Source organism: Homo sapiens, chromosome X, assembly GCF_000001405.40.
Source record: "Homo sapiens chromosome X, GRCh38.p14 Primary Assembly".
In the NCBI taxonomy this organism is placed as follows: Eukaryota; Metazoa; Chordata; class Mammalia; order Primates; family Hominidae; genus Homo; species Homo sapiens.
The window spans coordinates 139,174,806-139,197,202 of record NC_000023.11 but is presented as its reverse complement, the minus strand read 5'-3'; the positions used below and the strand labels follow the sequence as shown (position 1 = coordinate 139,197,202).

General features: G+C 39.9%; 1 protein-coding gene and 1 long non-coding RNA gene across 4 annotated transcripts in view; one reads left to right on the top strand and one right to left on the bottom strand.

Annotated features, from left to right (window-relative positions):
• FGF13 (fibroblast growth factor 13) overlaps positions 1–22,397 on the top strand; it is a 590,297-nt gene that overhangs the window by 7,821 nt on the left and 560,079 nt on the right. The window lies entirely within an intron of this gene.
• LOC124905222 (uncharacterized) lies at positions 1,343–20,816 on the bottom strand. Its single transcript, XR_007068344.1, has 2 exons — positions 2,305–20,816; positions 1,343–2,136 (listed from the first exon to the last, which is right to left on the bottom strand). It is a non-coding gene; the product is annotated as an uncharacterized LOC124905222 (long non-coding RNA).

Genomic DNA, 22,397 nt, shown 5'->3' with positions numbered 1-22,397 from the left:
AACACGGTGCTTGGCCTTGTAGTAATCAATAAATGATGAATGCATATGCCATGCACCTATGAAAACTCATCGGTCCTATGCCCTGCTCACTTCCTGTTTTGTTGTCATATCAGAAGGCACTGTGATAGAGAAAGACTTTTTCAGAGCCTCCTGGTGGCTTAATCTGACAAATACCTAGGGATATTTACATTCTATCTAAAGATTGCCTGGGGTAGAGCTTTCACTCAAAGAATTCAATAGTTAATGGTTGACTTTCCAACACCTAGATACGTGGCAGAAATAATTTTGACTGGTGTCCTAAAAATAGTATTTTCTGAGCACTGACTATAGGCCAGGGAGTTGACATGAAATATCTCATGAAATCTTCATAACAATGTATGGACATTCAATGTATGGAGAATGAATATCCACACTAGTCTTCAATGTGACAGATGAAGAAACAGACCGAGGCCATCCTTAGGTCACTCAGCTAACAAGATGGTGAAGTGAGGATTTGACCAGATTTCATTGACTCCAAATCTACCTCCTAACCACTAACCACTATATCATACTCCCTTCCTAGGCAGCACAGCTGAGTCTTTCTAATGCAGGTTTGCACAAAGACGAAATTACTTCCATTCACCAAATTGGACATAATTAGGAGGAGTGTGCCTATACTAAATACATGGTTGCTCCAGGGCTGTGGTCTTTGTTCAGTTAAACAAAATCTGAACATTTTTTGAGTGACTTTTCTCTATCAGGTGCTGTGCCGGGGTACCCTTTCCTTCTTCTCTGGCCTGGGACATTCTGACTTTAAACTTTCCGATGTGCATCTCACTTCACTTGGCCATCCTCTTGAACCACTGCTACAGGACATTGGCCAGGTGACTGTGTCTTTCATTGGCCAGGTGACTTTGGCTTTCATATTGGTTTAAAAACAATGGTACTTTCTTTTGCAACTGCATCTGAGACCTTGTTTCACCTGTGTCTTCAAGATTATACATCCTCTTAATTCACTGTTGAGTAAAAACTCCACTTGTTTATTTTAGTTTTCATTACATGGTATATGCTTTCAGTCTGTCTCCCATCAGAATCATATGTCTCATTTCCCTTCTCTTTGTCTCTCAACCCTACCCCGTTCTTCCTCCGACTCTCCTTCTTTCCCTCCCTCCTTTTCTTGTTAACAAATGTCAGTGGTTTTTATTAACCGAATGGGGCTCCTCAGGGTGTGCTGAGCTCATTGAAAGATTTTCATTTCTGGATTTTTTCCTTTGATAGCTATATTAATCGTGATGAAAGAAATCCACCCCCCACAACAAAGCGTAGCTCCACAGAAGAGGTTTTTCACTACTTACGTAACTCATTTTAAATGGAAAAATAAAAAAGTGCAAGCTTTATTTTGTATACTATTTATGCTGCCTTCAGTTAGATAATATTTCCAAAAATATATCTTGTTAACAGAGACACAACGCCTTGAACAAGCATATTAATTACAGTTCTCGAAGTTGGGAATCATGTAGTATTTATCTGTATTGTAGAACTGTTGCTCAATGGTAATAATTAACAGTGATGGGTCTATTGCATGGCTATAGGTAAATTTAATAACAAACATGAAACCCAGTTCTCAAAACTTGCTCCAAATAATGTAGGTAGCATTTGTTACTGTTCTGGAGTTGAGGGTTAGTAAATAGCTAGGGTTCTTAAAATATTTATCTAGCTCTTAAAAGTAGAAGTAAACAACCTAAAGAAGACAGGCTGAGTGCACTTCTTGAATATGCCCATAGATATTTTCAGAAACTTCTTTCAATGGTGACTTTGAAAGTATTGAGAATTGACCTGCTTATTTTGCCTTTGATTCTCTGTGTGTATGCTTGCCTCTCCCCTTGGGGGGTTTATTGAACATTAAGGCTTCCAAGAGCTCTTGAATTTGTGAGTGATTTTCGGAGCTCTGGGAACAATGTGAGCCATTCTCTTGGAAACAGGACAAGGTGCTCCTAGATGCTCTCATTCCGGGGAACATTTGTTTTTCGGCTAGCTGGGAACCGACGATCGCGCTGAAAGGTCTGGTCAACCAGCCTCCCTCAGTTCCTGTGTATCTGGCAGGCAGGTTTATTACAAACCTTAGTGTGCTCATTAGCCTCGTGATGTGGCAGCTGCCTAAAAAAGAAACACGGAAAAGTTGTGTCACCGAAGGTGAAACTTGGCAAAGAGCTGCCCGGCGCCGGCTCCGGGCATGACAAAGCGCCTTCCTGGCGGCGGCAGCGGCGGTGGGCAGTGGGGGTTTCTGTTTGCTTGTCCTCGATACCCACGGCCCAGTCGACTCACGGGGAGGCGTCGCAAAGGGAACCGCGGGCCCGGGCCAGGGCTCCGTGGCTGGCGGTGCGGGTGGTCGCAGTCCGGGGGAAGATACTGCGCGCTCCGGTGCAGCCCGCGGCCTCGCAGTCTAGACCGCGGGCACGTTGCAGCCTGTGGGGAAGCAGCGTTAAGATGGTGGCGGTCAGAGCAGCGCTGGTGGTGGCCGGGCGGGGCTCAGGGAGGCGCGCCCTCCTCCCTTAGCGACACCTATCAAGGCTTTCTTGCTTTCCGTACACCTGACCCACCCACTAGACACCTCAAAGGCAGGCATAGAAGGCCAAGAGCCTTGAAGTCAGGGCTTGACCAACACAAGAGCTTTGCTTTCTCTGTCTTCTTGTTAATGCTAATTTGACTTTAGCTGCTCAAAAACCGAAGATGCATCTTGAGCAGGACGCTCACAGGCAGATTTGAATTTATGTGTGTGTTTTTATATTGCTTATGTTTTATTACATTGATTTTTTTCAGATTACAAAATAATGCATGTTTACCGGAGACAATTTGGAACATCATAAAAGCGTAGAGAAGAAAATATCACCCAAGGTTCCACTACCAAGTTAACTTTTTGAGGCTTTGCTTCTAGTCCTTTTTCTCTGCATATTATAATACATAGACATGGCTAATTATCTTTAAGTGTGTATGTGGGATCAGGCACATACACGATAACTTCCTTTTTTTCCCTCAACGTCTTAGAATGTTATTTTATGTCGTTAAATAATTTGCACCATCATTTTCAGTGTGTATACTAGGTGTGGACTTAGGGGTAACCAAGGAGAGATGGTGATTTGTGCCTGGGGTGTGAACATTTTTCCTGCACCTCCTTGAGATCCTTCTCACTGGACACCACAAGCATGATTAGTATTTTGTAAAAGTACATATATGAATATGTGCCCATATGGGGCTATGTATATGTGTGTATAAATCTGTAAATACCAAATTAAACACACATAGACAACTATGCACATATGTAAATAGATACACAACAAATATGCTAAGAATAAATCTTGAAAGAATATACACCAAAAGGAATCTCTGGGTGGTTGGCTTATAGAAATTTATAGTGTTTAGTCATATTTTCTATTTTTATCTATAGTGGAAATACATAATTATATTAATGATATAATAATAAAAATAATACTAATGAAATATTACTTATTGATTGTCTTCAAACTGAGTTTTCTGCTCCCTCATTCCTTGATCTACCGTGACCTACTTATTATTTTTATATTATATGATGCTTCAAGTCCAAGCTAAATCTCCATCCTCCATGAAGCCTTTCTTCCGCCCTCCCAGCAGGCACTGACTGCTTACTTCTGTACAGGGCTTCTATGTCACCCATCTGGCAATCTCCATGGGCTACTTTGGGTGTATCTCATGGTTAACTTCTCATCTGCTTATGTCTTATCTCTCTGAATAGACTGGAATGTCTTCAAGGATCCTTTTCACAAAGCAAGTGCTCACTAAATGTGTTACGTAATGACAATGCTTATCATCCATCGTAGGTTTCTGTAAATGCTCCTTTACCTTTGAAACTCTATACCAAAAGCCCTTAGACTGACAGCAATAATCCTGCTGGATTTAATTTTGCTAATTTAATTTAGGATACAATTGCTACTTCATAATGGGCTATCTACGTAGAATTTGGTCAATGATGATACTGATAATATTACTGAAATAGTAGTGATTTTCATATTGATTTTTCAAGTTAGAGGACTCTTGATAGAGGGTTTCTTGGTGGTAGAAATAAATCTACAGATTCACACATGCATTGGACAGTCATACCCCAACTTAAGTGATTTCAGTTATTTTAATGCATGTGTAAATTAATTCATCTGTTAATTTACTCGATAAATATGTATTGAACCTTCTATGTGCCATCTGCTTTCTTAGACACTGAGAATACAGCAGTGAGCGGAACAGATAACTATCCCTGCCTTCATGGATAATACAAGCATATTTTGCAAGTTTTCTTAGGGAAACAGACTTTCAGTGCATGAAGCACTCTGTTTCATGTTCGTGGTATGTCAAGCAGTGAGTGATCTGGTGCCCATCATAGCCATCAGGCTCTGGCCAAGCCAAATTACTAATGAGTCAAGCTGGATGGAGTCATACATGGGTTGCTTATCTGTGGTTCAGGAACCACCGAAGCTGTGGTTCCTGGACCAGCTTGGGCATCAGCATCACGTCTAACCACATATACCCCCGACCATGAGAATTTGATTCAGTATATCTGGGCATGAGCCTTAGAAAGCCACATTTTTTATTAAGCTCCTCAAGTGGTTCTAATGCACAGCTGGTTTAGGGACCTACTGCCTCTGGGCAGTGTTTCTCAAGCTTGCCTAAAGAATCACCTGTAGGGTTTGTTTGTTTTTTCTAAACAAAACAAAACAAAAACCCTCCCGCTGACCTACTGAATTAGAATTTTAGGAAAAGAGATGGTAATCTGACTTGTAAGCAGGTGTCCTGGTGATTCTTATCATCAGGCTAGTTGGGGAAACATTGTCCTAGAGACAATCACAGGACTCCCCTAGAAATTATGTATAAATGTCAATTTTTCTGGTGAGCAGGCTCCATTGCTTTGAACAGATTCTCAAAGGAGTCATCCACTCCAAAAATATTACATGAGGTGGAGCCCTGATGTCTAGGACCAGCATTGTTGTCAACTGTATGTTTTGAGTTCTCAGTGTCCTCATGGGTTGAATTAAGCAACCTTAAAGACCTTCTCGGCCCTATTCATCTTCCACATATAAATGTTCTGCTTGGAAGCCTTCTTTCTCTCTTTTTGCTGCTTTTTTCTATCTTATTGCCAGTCCTGCCTCAATTGTTTCCCTTGATGGTCTCCCTTTAGGAGAAAGTAGGGAAGCAGGAGAATTTCAAAGCCTCGGCTCTCGCAGAGAGGGCGGGGCTGGGAGGGAGCTTCGGGCATGCCATTCAGAGATGGCAATCCTAGCACAGCTGTTAGAATAGCAGAGGTCAGTGTCCAAATATTTTGACCCTTATGATAGCTTGAACCTCAGTGGATCTTAAACTGGTGGGATAAGGGGGTGGGAGTGGGACTTCCAAGACATTTCTCTGCCAGTCTAGAGCAGGGTGACACAGGGTGGACAAGGTAATTCCGCTTTTCCTTGGACATAATTTTTCTGCCTGTATCTGGCAGCAGGTGGTGATGGGAGGTGGAAGCAGGAGTGTGAGTGTTGGGCTGGGCCTAGGTGCACCCCCACCCCTTCTCATCCTTGAGGCACCAAGCAGTGTCTCTGTAATTGGTTCATGACCAATCAAGTGCATTGACCTATTACTGCTAGTTACTTTGAGTTATAAATGGTTTTTATTTCCTCTGTGGAATTGGGGGTTCAGGCTGTATAGGATGACCTGATTTGTATCACAAGAGCCTTTGGGACTTTGACAGATTTCACCGTTTAAAACACACCGAGCTTCCTCCCTCCACCCCACTGGACATAAAAGCAACCTTTGAATTTCTGGCACAAAGAGCATGTCTTTAAAGGGCAGCATGCAGAAAAAGGGAGGAAAAAGAAGTAAGGCAGTTCATCTTCTTTTCTGAGGCCATTGTCTCCAAACAAGTGACAAAACTGAATACCTTGAAAAATCTTGTATTGATTTTTAGTGCAGAGGCATCTCCCCAGGATCTGAAAATCCTGGCAGAAGATAATAAACTTATTTCCCTGCCTTTGAGCCAGAGTTGAGTTGCTTGTTTTACATGGCTGGAAGAAATGAGAGTAGTTGCTCTGCTGAGAGTGAGATTTGGTTCAGAGTGCATCTCTCTTGACCATATTGTATATAGGGGAGACTCAATTTATAAAAACTATATATACAAATCTAACTCAAATGCCGAATGTGGAGGTAGTTACAATATTGAAAGAGTTATTGTTTTATGAAAAGTTTTTCTTTTAATAGCATCATCTTTAGTGTACTCGCACGTTTCTTTGGGCATGAAGGACTACTTGATTAAAAAGAAAGAAATCAAAACCAAGCCTAGAGGCCTCTTGTTGAGGCATTTGTTTCCTGCTATTCTAATTAGAAACTGTTGCTCAGAGTGGCTGTCTTGCTTCTCGGATTATTATCTTTTTTATTTTAATTATTTTAAATATGTTTACTGTGGCAAAATATACAACATAAAACTGACCATTTTATAGTCAATTCTATGGTATCCAGTTCTATGGTATTAAGTATATTCACATTGTTCTGCAGCCTTAATCACCATGCTCCACAGATCCTTAATTACAGGCTATAATGGCTGGAAGGGACCTTCATCATCATTTGGTCTAACCTTCCCACTACAGAGTAGAAGAATTAGGCCCACAGAGAGGCAATGACTTGCCCAAGGTCATAGAACAAGTTAGTGGCAGGGGCCTAGCCCAGTACATTTCCACATTGACACAGTAACAGATTCAGGCAGGTGGCCTCTGTTACTCTACTGATAGCAGAATCAAGGATTGACATAAATGTTTAGGGTATTTTTCTGTTTTTTTTTTCTTTTATCAAGCAAGCAACCAATTATTATGGTTTAGAGCCAGAAGGTCCTTCAGACACTGTCTAGTTCAATTTCCTTATTTAAAATAATTGGCCGTATTTGTGATTTCTAAATCCAAGTTGAACTACAGAAAGATGCTAACATTCTTATTTCTAAAATACAGGACAATTCTTCCCCAGCCTTCCTTTCACTGACTCCATGGCATTCTTTGGTTGAAACCAGGTCCTTTGTGGGTGGCTGTTATTAATAAGCTTTTCTTGGGATGTTTACAGTGACTGCTGTGACCTAAATAAGTTTGCTTGTATTGTTTTCCCCACAAAGGCAAGAACAGCTTTTAAAACTATGTTCATCCCTCTCATCACAATGTATTTATTCATGACTAAAAGAACTGAAGTATTGCATTTTCTCACATTTGGGGCCTTTGTGTACCCCAATCATGTTTTCTTGGAGTAGAGCTTCAGGACAATACACCATGTAACATTATAACATGATCCCTCTTGAAAATTTTATTTTTACTTTTAATTGTGGTAAAATACACATAACATAAAATTTACCATCTTAACCATTTTTATGTGTACAGATCAGTAGTGTTAAGTATTTAACTGAAGTATATAATCTGAAGACTGCTTGTGCAACCAGTCTTCAGAACGTTATCTCACAAAAGTGAAACCGTGTACACATTAAACAATTCCCCATTTCCCCATTACCCCAGTCCCTTGCAACCTCCATTCTACTTTGTCTCTATGGGTTTGACTACTTTAGCTACCTTGTATAAGTGGAACTATAGTTATTTGTCATTTTGTGACTGACTGATTTCATTTAGCATTGCTATAAAGAGACCCCTGAGATTGGGTAATTTATAAGGAAAAGATGAGCCTTGAGGCTCATCCATGTTGTAGTGTGTGTGGGAATTTCTTTCCTTTTTCAGGCTGAATAATATTACATTGTATATATAGACCACATTTGGCTTATCCATTCGTCCAAGGAGGGAAACTTGGGTTGCTTTCATCTTCTGACTCTTGTGAATAATGCTGCTATGAACTTGGGTGTAGATCTTTTTTCAATTGATGGGATAAATTGTTTTAAAATACTCAATTTATTTTCTCAGTCTTTAGTCTAAGATTATTAAAATAACATGGTGAATAAAATAAAGGAAGAATGCAAATTTTTAGGGTACTGGAGAATTGAGGCATCAATCCAAATGACTTGCAAGTTTGAGAACCATGAGTAGAGTAAATAGGACTTTTTTAGGTCCTCTTGGGTCTATTATGTTACTTTTTTATAGTGATTTTGTGTGTGTGTGTGTGTGTGTGTGTGGAAACAATGAACTTCCTCTGTGATAGCCTCTATGATCCTTCATCCTTGCATTTTTGCCCTTTACCATTTATTTCCATTCCTGTTTATATGTGTCCCCCACTATACTGTAAACTTGTTGAGTGCAGGGACCAAGTTATTAATTTCTGAATAGTACTTAGGACAAAGCCTGGCTCATAAGGCAAATGCAATAAATGTTTGAAGAGAAATTTGACTCACTCTGTCATTTGGAAAAATTTAACTTCACAGTTAGCCTTGGAATAATTCAACATTTTTATTTGTTTTTATCTGCTTCTTTTATATTTGAAACATAGCTCATGTTTAGGAGCACAAATTAGTTTTAAATATGAAGCAATCAAGTTTTTTTTGTTTTCAACTCTTTTTGGGCAGTGGGAGAAACATTTGTTGAATACTTGGCATCAAATAGAGGAAATATCCAGGCCTTGACTTTAGTTTTGATTTGAGTAAGTCCCTCTGAATTTCCACTGTGAATTCTGTCTCCTCCCTGCCACCTCTGAAGTGCTGTGTGTGGCTTTGAGTTGTGCAGCTAGTGCTGTGAGTGCTGTTTCTGTATCAGGGCACAGATTTCCCACTCCATGTATTGGCTCCTAAGCTTTGTTTTCATGCCCCCTAACTTCTCCTGAACTGTCTCCAACCTCTTTATAATGTTCCAGAAATAGAAATCTCCCAAAGGGATTGTCATTTGTAATAAACGCCCTCAATCCTTAATATATTATTTCCCATTGGTGGGCAGAAAGCCTGCAGATATATTTATTTTCAGGTGATAGACAATACTTTAGAGACACATGCTTAAGAATCTGGACTCCATTCATTCAAAGAGCATCAAGCATTATGGCAGGCCCAGGCACTGGTGAAACACCAATGAGGAAGAGTCTCTATTCTTGCTCTTACAGAGCTGATAGTGGGAGAAATAAAAAGGAAGCAGTGCCTTGACTGGGAAACACAGAGAACTAAGGAAGCTCATAGGAGAGGGAGCTGACATAGTTGGGTGGTGGTAGCAAGTGCGATCGTTAACTTGACACCTGAAGGATGAGTAAGAATTTGTCAGTTGATGAAGAGGAATAAGAGTGTCCTGGAAAGTGGGGACAGCACATGTAGAAGCTAGGTGATGAGCAAGAACATGGCTTACTTAGAGAACGGAAGGAAGTACATTATTCCTAGAGTAGTGAGTCACCTTAGTTACGTGGATAGTCCTGGCATATCCTGAATTATGCCACTCTCATTTCAGTGGACAGTCCCATTGATTCCAATTTTTAAGCAGAAATATTGAAAATGCAGTTTTTCTGTGCATTAACAAGGAGGTTCCCTGGTAGGAAGAAATGCATGAAAAACAAGTAGGCTCAATGGTAACTTAATGCACTTGATGAAATGCTGATTGTGAACAAAACTTCAGGATACTATCATTATAAATGAATGAAACCCATTAGATTTTAAGTAGAAGACTTATTTTTTTTCTGCTAAGATTAGAGGCCTCAGGGTTTTGTTAATTGTGGACTCCATGATCAGAAATCCATATATGTGTCTGCAGCCATGATTTTTTTATTAGTAACAAGAAAGAGGGATAACTTCTTAACTATTCAGAATATGCATTATTTAGCAGTAAGACACAACTATTCCAGAAAGTGGCTTAATCAACTTTATTCATATGAAAGTACATAGTTTTATGGCTATTATTAGTAGGCCATGAATTTTTATTAAGTCAAAAAGAACATTGATATTTAACAGATAATGCCATTCTTGGCAGTGTAGGGTGTAATCAGGCAGAACACAACTCATTTCTGACTTCCAACTATATCACTCATGTTGACTTTCTGCTTTGTCTCCAGCAGTTGCATGAAAGTAAATGTACTGCCACAGATACTTCCCAGATGTTGCCACACAGAAATTTCAGGATAGTTCCATTCATACCATTTATTCATTCAAGGAACACGTATTGGGTGTTGGCTCTCTGTCAAGCTTGATTGTAGGTGTTGGAAAAATGTGACCAAGCTACAGAGTGTCCCTGCCCTTGCAGGGCTCACAGTGTAGTGGGGAAGACAGACAAGCAAATAGTCAATGGAGACAAATACAGTGTGACCAGTGCTGTAATAGCAGATGCCCTGGAAACTGTGCAAGCTCAGAGGAGGGCAGCTAACACAGCCTTGAAGGACCAGGGAATGCTCCCTGAGGAGAGAGATCGGCTGGGATCAGAAAAGTGAATTAGGACCTGGCCTGGCAAAGAGGAGGACAAAGAGAATTTCAAGCAGAGAGAACAGCTCATTTGAAGACAAAGAAGTGAGAAGAATGGCAGGAAGGAAGGGAGAGAGAGAGGGAAGGGTATTGCAAATGTAAATGTAAAAGGGCATAACTGTATGACATGCATTATGGCTAGAGAGGCATGAGGTGTACCTGAATAGGTAGGCAGGGGCTGGCACACAAAGGCATTGAGGTGTACTTTTGTGTATGAGGATGAAGAGTTTGGATTTCATTTCAAATGCATTGGAAAGCCTTTGGAGAGTTTCCTGATGGGAAGCCCTGTGATCTGATGTACATTTTTAAAAACTCTGTCTGGCTAGGAAGGCAGTGAGAAAGCTGATGCGGTGGGTCCAGGCTGAGACTTGGTAGAGTAAGAATGAAGATGGACAATGTCTAAAGATTTGAGAGCACTATCCAGGAATTGGGGTAGATTGGGTTTTGTGCAAATAATAACATGAGTGGTACAATGATATCTCATTTACTTAAGCGGGAGACAGGAGTCATGAATGATGACTCTTATGTTTCTGGGATCCAGTCCCATCTCTAGCACTTACAACTGTGTGATTGAGCAGTATCACTTATTCTTTGCATCTTCTTTTTTTCATCTCTTACATTTTCCCACTGTGATTGCAGCCTGATTTTCAGTGGTGATTCATAATGATCCTAATATCCTTTGCTTCTAAGGTACATAGCAGACCATTTATAAATATTGCCCAAATAAATGAACTGGCATTATGCAGCTACATTCTTATGCAGGTATACTTCCTGGTTAGGTGCAGATTAGCCTATTTAGTCTTTCTTATCTGTAGCTTATTACTGGGAATAATCTAAAGTGGAAATCAAACCATAGATTGTGTGTGATATAATGGTCCCCTGTACTGGACTGGGCCTTAAGAACTCACATTTTTCCCCCTTACTTTGCTGTTATCTTGCCTTTATTTAGTGCAACAGAAAATCACTTATGTGCTTTATATCAGTATTCCCATTTGTAAAATGTCTATGATAATGCCAGATCCTGACTTTAGTTTTGGGGTGATATTATTAACAAGATAATAGCTTTTAAGCATAATCATTTAGTGTTTATAATAGACCTTTCCTCTAAGAACTTCCTGATGTTTGTCATTGGAGGTGGTGTAAGGCAGAGAACAGAAGCCCCTGAAGAGCTTTTTCAGAGAATCTAGGTCCTAACTCTACCCCACACCAGCTTCAGTGGGGGCCCATTGGTGGACATGCACGGTGGACTCCGGCTGTTATGGACCTTCCCTGCTCTGCATAGTCTTGTAGCAATATGGTCTTCTCATGTTTCAGAACATCAAATGTAAAAGCCAAAACTACAACTGGCAAGAACTCACTTAGCAGTAAAGGGGAAATGTATAGGAATTGGAACTGCTATTGACAAAAGTTAGATTATATGATCAACATTTCAAAGGCACAGAGATTTGCAATAATTGCATGGGGTATAGGTGTTTTCTGAACAATAGAAACAAAAGCCAGTATTATATAGTGGGTTAAAAGAGACACTTATTATGCTCAAGTATACAAAGTAACATGAACTTCTAGCTAGTAGAATTTTATGGATTTCATGATTTGCCATAATGAAGAAATAAAAATATTTTAAAATTTTCCTATTGTTTTTGAAAGCAGTTATTGTGAGTGTGGTTGGCAAGTATTACTATGTACTCAGCACCCCCTTTTCCCATGGATAGCTAAACGAATTCTGCATTGTTGGGTCTGATTTCATGAGTTTTGTTCCAGTGCAAAACAAACTTAATACAAGTACTTTCCAGGTCTGGTTTCATCTGTATGTGAACTAGAACTAAATCGTTTACATGTGAGGCTAAAATGAGAGTCCTCCCAATAAAGTGTCCTGGAATGTGCATTTGAGTGTTTTCTCTAAAGAAGAAGACAGCCATGTTAAGTCAGAAATGAATCAGCAAAAGAAGGAATGAAAAAGATTGTTCATTCTGAAATAACACTCATGGCTTGTATGGGAAAATTTTATTTCAACTTTGAAAATAAAGATTTTTCATTTAACATTAATTCAACAAATATTTATTGAATACCTACTATGTGCCAGGCAGTGTTCTAGGTATAAGTGATATAGCAATGAATAAAACAAAGATCTTTGCCCTCCTGGGCTTACATTCGTGTGTGTGTGTGTATGTGTGTATGTGTGTGTGTGTAGGGACATACAATAAGCAATATATATATAGGTAAAAAAGATATGTTATCTGCTGACAAGTGCTATGGAGGAAAATAAATCTGGGAATGTGTATGTATGGTAGTGGTGGTGGTAAATGGCTGTAGTTTTGAGTATGATGATGAGGTATGGACTTACTGAGAAGATGATATTTGAGTAAAATTCTGAGAGAAAGCCATGCAGGTGTCTTGGGGAAGAGGGTTACCAACTTTTGCATGTTGCCTGGGTAAAATAAAAGTGCACAAGTATAAAAATGTATTACCCACAAGTCAGGCAGTTAGAGGTGTTTTTTATTGAACAAGGGTAAAGCCCTTTCTGCATTCCTGTGTAAATTCTGCAAGGCAGAATTTCAAATGTAGTCTCTGGTTATTTGAATCTTAAAAGTTCATGAACAGCTTTTTAAATTGTACTCTCTGAAATTTCTGTATATGCATACAGATAGCATTTACATGTACTAAGTTGGTATGAACCCATGGATATACCTGCTTTGGTGTTGAAGCTACTTGATGATTTGCAAATTCAAGCATACCATATTTTCATTTATGCAAAAGAAAGTATTAACTGTTCTGATGTCTGGGAAGAATGAGCACCTCTCAGGAACATAGGTTCTGCTTGAGCTACTTTAGACCATTTGACTCCTGAAAGTAGGAGAAATTATCAGTTAGATAGATCAGCCTCTCCAGAGGACCTGCAAAGTGCAAGCAAGAACAGTGTGGAGCCACTTGCATTGAGTAGTATGTGAGTCAAAGTCATGGAGAGGAGTGGTTGTTGTTCAGTATTTGCTGTGGATTACTGTTAGGACTAGTAGATCCATATTCTCCCTATTTCCTGGTGTTGGTCATTTTGCATTGCTATAAAGGAATTCCTGAGACTGGAAGATTTATACAGAAAAGAGGTTTATTTAGCTCATGGTTCTGTGGGCTGTGCAACAAGTGTAGTACCAGCATTTGCTGCTGGCAAGGCCTCGGGAAGTTTACAATTATGGTGGAAGGCAAAGGGAAAGCTGCCTTATCACATGATGAGAGGGAGTAAAAGAGAGAGGGAGGAGGTGCCAGGCCCTTCTCACGTGAACTCACATCTCACGTGAACTCACAGAGAGAGAACTCACTCATTACCATGGGGATGGCACCAAGGCATTCATGGGGCATCTGCCCACATGACCCAAACACCTCCCACTAGGCCCTCCTCTAACACTGGAGGTCGCGTTTCAACGTGAGATTTGTAGGGGACACACATCCAAATCATTTCACTCTCTGAACAGTGCTCTGTGTAACTCTTGCCACTTCTAGGTGGATAAGGTGGTGAAGACCCACTAGGTCTGGAAGGGCAGAGTTGATTCTGTATTGAGGAGGTCACAGACCTAATGTGAAAAATTATTGCTCCAGCCTCCCTTGTACAAAATTTGGACATGTGATACTTTTGACATGTTTTTGGCGTGTCCTGCCAGCCAATGGTGTGCAAGTAGACAGAGCAGGGGAGTGAATCCATGCCAGGACAATTAGCTGTTGTAGTAAGGGGCTGCAGATTTGCCCTTCCCCTTTGTCTTCAGTGAAGTGCCCATCTGTTATATAAATATTTGAATGTGGTGGTGAGGAGGGAGGGAACTGTGTGTATTTGTGGAAAGAAGACAGGAACTGGGTGCCCTTGAGTGAGCCTCTTAATCTCAATGGGTCACAGTTTTGTGAAACGCTACAGTGAGAATAGTAACATTAAGCACCCACTAAGCTTGTTGGAGTATAAAAAAGACATGATATGTGAAAGCATTTGGTTAGCATTATACATGTAAATGTACTTTTTTAATGAATGGACTTGCTTTTCCCTAGAAGGCCTTTACTGGTAGAATATTGTTCAGCTATCAAAAAACACGGCCTTTTATCAGGAATTTTTCCTAAATTAGCATTATTCACAATTGAAACTACATACTTGGTTTCTAAGTTTTCATGGCCCAGATTATTTTATTTTGCTACCTTCCCCACCCCATCCCGAGGGAATATGTGAACAATTTACTATTGACAGATAAAAGATAATGTGTTGTGAAAGTGACAGGCCCGAATCAGCAGGAGAGCCTGCAGTTCTCCTGCCTTGCTGTCATTCAGTGATGAAAATATTACAGAACGTTTAATACTATATGAACTAGAACAATACGCAATTTCAGAAGAAGCCACCTTATGACACTTCAATTTATTTAACATAAAAGACTGATGGTCCTATTGAAGTTCAAAGCTTGGAAAATTTTCAGGAAGGACAATTTATACTATTTAGGAAATGCTCTCCCTGAGCTTTACTGTTTCATATTTAATCCAGGGTACTACCTAAGATTGCTTATAAAGTCCCTTTTGCTGTGTGGACCTTCAACATCTCATAGTAAAGAGAGAATATGGTGTAGTGGTTAAGCATGCAGAGCTTGTGCCTTTGTTTTCCCATCTGTAAAATGGGGATAAGAGTAGTACCTACCTCACTGGGTTGTTGTGTGTATTAAATCAGTTAATATATACAACACATATAATAGTGACAGACACAGAGTAAGCTCTATATAAGTGTTTGCTATTATTATTATTACTTAAGTTCTTATTATGAAGATTATCTGCCTAGAGTGTCTCTGTCTAAAACAATAGTCTGCATAAAGTCTGGGTTGTGTTGGAGAGGGAGAAGAGGGTGGTGAAGGAATTTTTTTCAGTAAAGAACCAGCAATATCTGCTGCAAAGGTTCTTCCCCACCTCATCCAACTGGAAAAGCCCCGCCAGTCCCTTCAAGACCCTGTTCAAGCATCAACCCTCTCCACCTTCTCCACCCTTCTCCCAGTGGATAATTCCCACTGTTATCTCAGCACTTTATTTCTGAATTATATCAGTCAGTTTCTGAATTATAGCTGTTATCATACTGCATTATATTATCTGTTTATGGGTCTCTCCCTCACTAGGCTGTGGGCTCCTTGAAGGCAGGGACTAGTGTAATTCAAGCATAGTGTCATGGTATGCAGTAAGCCATTGATGCTCATGGAGTGGCAGACTATAGCTGGGCAGATTTCTCTTTCAGAGTTGCCCTTCCTTGTGTTCATTTCCTTCCCTGCAGGTCTAGACTAGAGTCAGTCTCAACCGCCCTCAATTTGCCACTTGGCCAAAGGCCTGGACTCTCTGCAGTGGGGAGCTAAACATCTGAATGAAGTAGTCATCAAAACCAAGGTGAGCTTTGGAGATTGCTATGGCAGAAGTGAAGAGAAGAGGCAACTAGAGTGACAGTACATCTTTGCTAGTTGGGGTCAGTGTTGGGCATAGCTGTTCCCTATAACTCAGTACTCCAGCTAGACTGAGATCAAGAGCATGGCTGAGATCAAGAACATGCCCTGTGTTACCCCTTTTGTGAGGTCTTCTGAGATGCCCCCAGGCACACCTAACTGCTAGTACTCCTGTGCTTCACTGCAATTTGAACATCTCTATTAAAGGACTAGTGATTTTATTGCACATCTGCTTCTCACCAGACTGTGAGTCACATGAGGGCAGGAACTGTGAGGTTTCGGTTCTGTAGAGCTGCTTTAGGTAAATGGTTGATGAATGAGCAAATGAATCGGTTTGTCTTTCTGATACTACTTCAGTGATCTGTCCAAATGCCGTTAAGAGGCATATTTTGTTACTTGTTTATCAGTCATCTTTTCTGCTTGTTTCAACCTTCAGTAAACTGTGGAACTGTTCTCTTTCATGTAGTACCTGGCACGTAGGAATAGTGCAGCAGATAACTATTGAACTGAATGGCACCTGAGAGCAACACAGATGTAGGGTTCTTTTATTTTCTGGATGTATTTGGAGGCAGGGATATAGGTCAGCAACCCATAGTGCAGTTGTCCTTTGGGGAGGGGGTCAGTGTGCCAACCTGTACAGTTTAGATCGGGGACTGTGACCACACACAGTCACCAGTTAAATCAGGCAGCCCTATTGCGCACATCATCATCTCCATCTTCAGTTGTGTGTACAGCCAATTGTAATTACTGAGGCATATAAGGTAGCCAAATCATGTTTGTGAGCCTCCACTTGAAAAGTAAAAGAAATATATGTTATATGTTAGAATGAGGGTTTTTTTTCATACAGAGAGAAACAGAACTAAGAAAAAAATAATTTGTAATATTTCAGAAAACTCAATTTTTGAGGACTCTGGATGATAGAATTCTTACAGTAGCTACCCAGCTCAGAGCAATTTGTGCATGGAATACCTTTAGGGTATGTAAGTTCCAGAAGATCATCATTTAGCTTAGTGCCCAGTATGATGCCAGTCATTGTAGAAAATTTGACAGATTGATGATGCATGGCCTTTGCCCCCAAAGAATTTGCATTCTAATTGATGATCTCAGATGTTATATCTGCAGTGGTGGTGAGCAGCTTGGAAGAGTATAAAATATAAAGCTAAGCTGTCTATTTTGTGCGTGTGGGAGGCATTCAGAGGAGACATGCCAAGGGTGGGGTATGTCAAGGAAGGCTTTATGATAAAAGCAGTAGGTGAGTGGAAATTAAAGTCAAAGTGGGAGGGTAGGGGGACCTGGGAATGAAAGTAAAAGTGAACCTGAGGTGTTAGTAATGGTGTATCCTCACTGGATTATTCATTAATTCATCAGTTGAAATTTATGTAACTGACTACCTTGGGCCAGACACTATGATGGATACTAGGGACACAGAGATACACAGGACATGGTCCCTGCTTTTGGCATACTATGGGGACACCCAAGGAGTGCCTTCCTTTATTGACCATACAGTTAAATGACTGACGAGTCATTCATGCCTTCAACAAACATTTATTAAGTGTCTGTTTTGGGTCTTACTCAGCATTGGATGCTGGGGATACAGAAATGAGTCAGACCAGTCCAAGATACTCTCATACTCCAGGTAGATGCATGTGTTAAAACATACAATCAGCTATTTGCTATTTGCAAAGTGCTTCTCTCATATGAGGCAGGTTTAATCCTCATAGCAATCTTGTGAGGTTGTTTCTGTTATATTCCCCATCTCACATAATTTGTGAGATTATGAACTAAGAGATTATGAAAGTGAGATTATGAGTTTAGTTGATAAACTAAGGCATAGAGCTGTTAAGCAATTTCTCTACGCTCATACTGCTAAGAAGTAGCTGAGCTGAGAAGTGAATCCAATTCCTCTGCATGTTTTTTTTTTTTAATGTCCTGGAATCACAAGAGTATTTGACTCATACTGTAGGAGCAGAAATAAAATGAAATAAAATGAAAACTGATTTTTTGCGAAAAGAGAGGCATCTTCTAAGAAAATGAAAGAATGATTCTTCGAATGGGAAAATTGCCATCAACTCAGGGGAAGTTATGAAAAGTTTGAAGACATGTAATGGGAGAGTGAACAAAGTACTAAAATAAGAAGGGACCACATTGGGGTGTGTTGCTTTACTAGTCCACTGTGAGATATTAAGTTGGTGCAAAATTAATTGCGGTTTTGCCATTAAAAGTAATAGGCAGTATCATGGAATATTGGCCATAGAGTTAAATGTTCTATAAGGTGAAACTATTGTTAAAAAGTCACTTGTGTTATGGAATCACCTTCATGTGTTAGTTATTGATCTTGCCGGCTTGCAATTTATAAATGTATTTTTAAAAGCAAGAGTCCATTATGTAGATTTTCTTTCTCTTTCCTTCTTTCCTTTCACTGAGTCAATAATTTTAAGATAAGAAAAGAAATATATAAAAGATCTATTATAGAACACTGATGTCCAGTTTAATCCCTTATTCTTTTCTGCAATCAAAAGATAAAGTAGGAAGATAACTGGAATCAGTTTGTGACAGAGAGGAAAAAAGAAATTGACTGTGATTACAAACCTCACACCAAAATTATTATTATAGACCTGACTCCCAAATTATGCAGATTGAGACCACATGAAACATATGGTGTATTGTTTTTCTACGCATAACTTGTTTGATGTTTGTTTAAAGACCTTAGATGAAGAACTGGCTCTTGAGATATCTTGTCTCTCATAATCACAATCTGAATCTGCCTTACCCTCACTTGAGGTTTACATGGAGAGTTTCAAACTGAAATAATGCAAAAATTCCTTATGTGACATGGTGATGTGGAGTGTGGGCTTTGGCTCTAAGTTTGTGATGGGATTGGTGTAGTGTTCGCATGGAAATAATCATATACTTGGCAGCATTTTCTCTGAGGCTATTAGACCTGAATGGACAGAAATACTGATGTTTGCAAATTCCCTCTGGCAGTATGGTGCAAGTGATATCATTCATATCCTTTCTTTCCATTTTCTATCTTCCTACACTCAGTGACCTCAGAGATCATCTGGCCATTCTTTCTACAGTTGATGAACTCAGTCCTGGAGAGTGTAAAGGACCTGCTCAAGGTTTTTTGGCATAGCCAAGTATAGCTTCTAGAAGTAATTTCCATTGATCTTATTGCTTGCTCTTCAGAACTATCTAATGAGGTGGCTGGCAAGATGGCCGAATAGGAACAGCTCCAGTCTGCAGCTCCCAGCGAGATCAACGCAGAAGGCAGGTGATTTCTGCATTTCCAACTGAGGTACCCAGCTCATCTCATTGGGCCTGGTTAGAGTGTGTGTGCAGCCCATGCAGGGCGAGCTGAAGCAGGGTGGGACGTCACCTCACCTGGGAAGCACAAGGAGCTGGGGAAGTCCCTCCCCATGAGGGACTGTGCTGTGAGGAACAGTGCATTCCGGACCAGATACTATGCTTTTCCCATGGTCTTTGCAACCCGCAGACCAGGAGATTCCCTTGGGTGCCTAAACAACCAGGGCCCTGGGTTTGAAGCACAAAAATGGCTGGCCGTTTGGGCCAACACATAGCTAGCTGCAGGAGTTCTTTTTCATACCCCAGTGGCAACTGGAATGCAAGAGAGAGAGAAATGTTCACTCCCCTGGAAAAGGGCTGAAGCCAGGGAGCTAGGTGGTCTAGCTGCCCGGATCCCACCCCCATGGAGCCCCGCAAGCTAAGATCCACTGGCTTGAAATTCTTGCTGCCAGCACCAGGCCTGCCTTACAAGAGCTCCTGAAGGAAGCACTAAACATGGAAAGGAATAACCGGTACCAGCCACTGCAAAAACATACCAAATTGTAAAGACCATCAACACTGTGCTGAAACTGCATCAACAAACAGACAGAATAACCAGTTAGTATCATAAGGACAGGATCAAATTCACACATAACAATATTAACCTTAAATGTAAATGGGCTAAATGCCCCAATTAAAAGACACAGACTGGCAAATTGGATAAAGAGTCAAGACCCATCAGTGTGCTGTATTCAGGGGACCCATCTCATGTGCAAAGACACACAGAGGCTCAAAGTGAAGGGATGGAGGAATATTTATCAAGCAAAGAGAAAGCAAAAAAAAAAAAAAAAAAAGCAGGGGTTGCAATCCTAGTCTCTGATAAATCAGAGTTTAAACGAACAAAGATCAAAAAAGACAAAGAAGGGCATTACATAATGGTAAAGGGATCAACACAACAAGAAGAGCTAACTATCCTAAATATATATGCACCCAATACAGGAACACCCAGATTCATAAAGAAAATTCTTAGAGATCCACAAAGAGACTTAGACTCCCACACAATAATACTGGGAGACTTTAACACCTCACTGTCAATATTAGACAGCTCAATCAGACAGAAAATTCACAAGGATATTCAGGACTCAAACTCAGCTCTGGACGAAGCAGACCTAATAGACATCTACAGAACTCTCCACCCCAAATGAACAGAAGATATATTCTTCAAAGCAACACATCGCACTTATTCTAAAATCGATCACATAATTGGAAGTAAAACACTCCTCAGCAAATGCAAAAGAATGGAAATCACAACAAACAGTCTCTCAGACCACAGTGCAAAGAACTCAGGATTAAGAAACTCACTCAAAACTGCACAACTACATGGAAACTGAACAACCTGCTCCTGAATGACTAGTGGGTAAATAACAAAATGAAGGCAGAAATAAATAAGTTCTTTGAAACCAACGAGAACAAAGACACAATGCAGCAGAATCTCTGGGACATAGCTAAAGCAGTGTTTAGAGGGAAATTTATAGCAATAAATGCCCACAGGAGAAACTGGGAAAGATCTAAAATAGACACCCTAACATTACAATTAAAAGAACTAGAGAAGCAAGAGCAAACAAATTCAAAAGCCAGGAGAAGACAGAAGACAAGAAGTGAATAGGATCAGAGCAGAACTGAAGGAGATAGAGACAAAAAAAAAAAAAAAACCCTTCAAAAAATCAGTGAATCCAGGAGCTGATTTTTTGAAAAGATTAACAAGATAGATAGACCACTAGCCAGATTAAAGAAGAAGAAAAGAGAGAAGAATCAAATAGACACAATAAAAAATGATAAACGGGATATCACCACTGATCCCACAGAAACATAAACTACCATAAGAGAATACTATAAACACCTCTATACAAATAAACTAGAAAATCTAGAAGAAAGGGATAAATTCCTGTACACATAAACATTCCCAAGACTAAACCTAGAAGCAGCTGATTCCCTGAATAGACCAATGACAAGTTCTGAAATCGAGGCAGTAATTAATAGCCTACCAACCAAAAGAAGCCCAGGACCAGACAGATTCACAGCCTAATTCTACCATTGGTACAAAGAGGAGCTGGTACCATTCCTTCTGAAACTATTCCAAACAATAGAAAAAGAGGGACTCCTCCCTAACTAATTTTATGAGGTCAGCATCATCCTGCTACCAAAACCTGGCAGAGACACAACAACAACAAAAAAATTTCAGGCCAATATCCATGATGAACATAGATGCAAAAATCCTCAATAAAATACTAGTAAACTGGATCTAGCAGCACATCAAAAAACTTATCCACTACAATCAAGTGGGCTTCATCCCTGGGATGCAAGGCTGGTTTAACATACACAAATCAATAAACATAATCTATCACATAAACAGAACCAGTGACAAAAACCACATGATTATCTCAATAGATTCAGAAAAGGGCTTCAGTAATATTCAACACTCTTTCATGCTAAAAACTCTCTATAAACTAGGTTTGATGGAACCTATCTCAAAATAATAAGAGCTATTTATGACAAACCCACAGCCAATATCATACTGAATGGGCAAAAGCTGGAAGCATTCCCTTTGAAAACTGGCACAAGACAATATGCTCTCTCTCAGAACTCTTATTCAACATTGTATTGGAAGTTCTGGCCAGGGCAATCAGGCAAGAAAAAGAAATAAAGCATATTTAAATAGAAAGAGAGGAAGTCAAATTGTCTCTGTATGCAGATGACATGACTGTATATTTAGATTAGACAACCCCATCCTTTCAGCCCCAAATCTCCTTAAGCTGATAAGCAAATTTAGCAAAGTCTCAGGATACAAAATCAATGTACAAAAATCACAAGCATTCCTATACACCAATAATAGACAAACAGAGAGCCAAGTCATGAGTGAACTCCCATTCACAATTGCTACAAAGAGAATAAAATACCTAGGAATCCAACTTACAAGGGATGTGAAGGACCTCTTCAAGGAGAACTACAAACCACTGCTCAAGGAAATAAGAGAGGACACAAACAAATGGAAAAACATTCCATGCTCCTGGATAGGAAGAAACAATATCATGAATATGGCCATACTGCCCATAGTAATTTATAGATTCAATGCTATCCCTATCAAGCTACCACTGACTTTCTTCACAGAATTAGAAAAAACTACTTTAAATTTCATATGGAATCAAAAAAGAGCCTGTATAGCCAAGTCAATCCTAAGCCAAAAGAACAAAGCTGGAGGCATCACACTACCTGACTTCAAACTATAC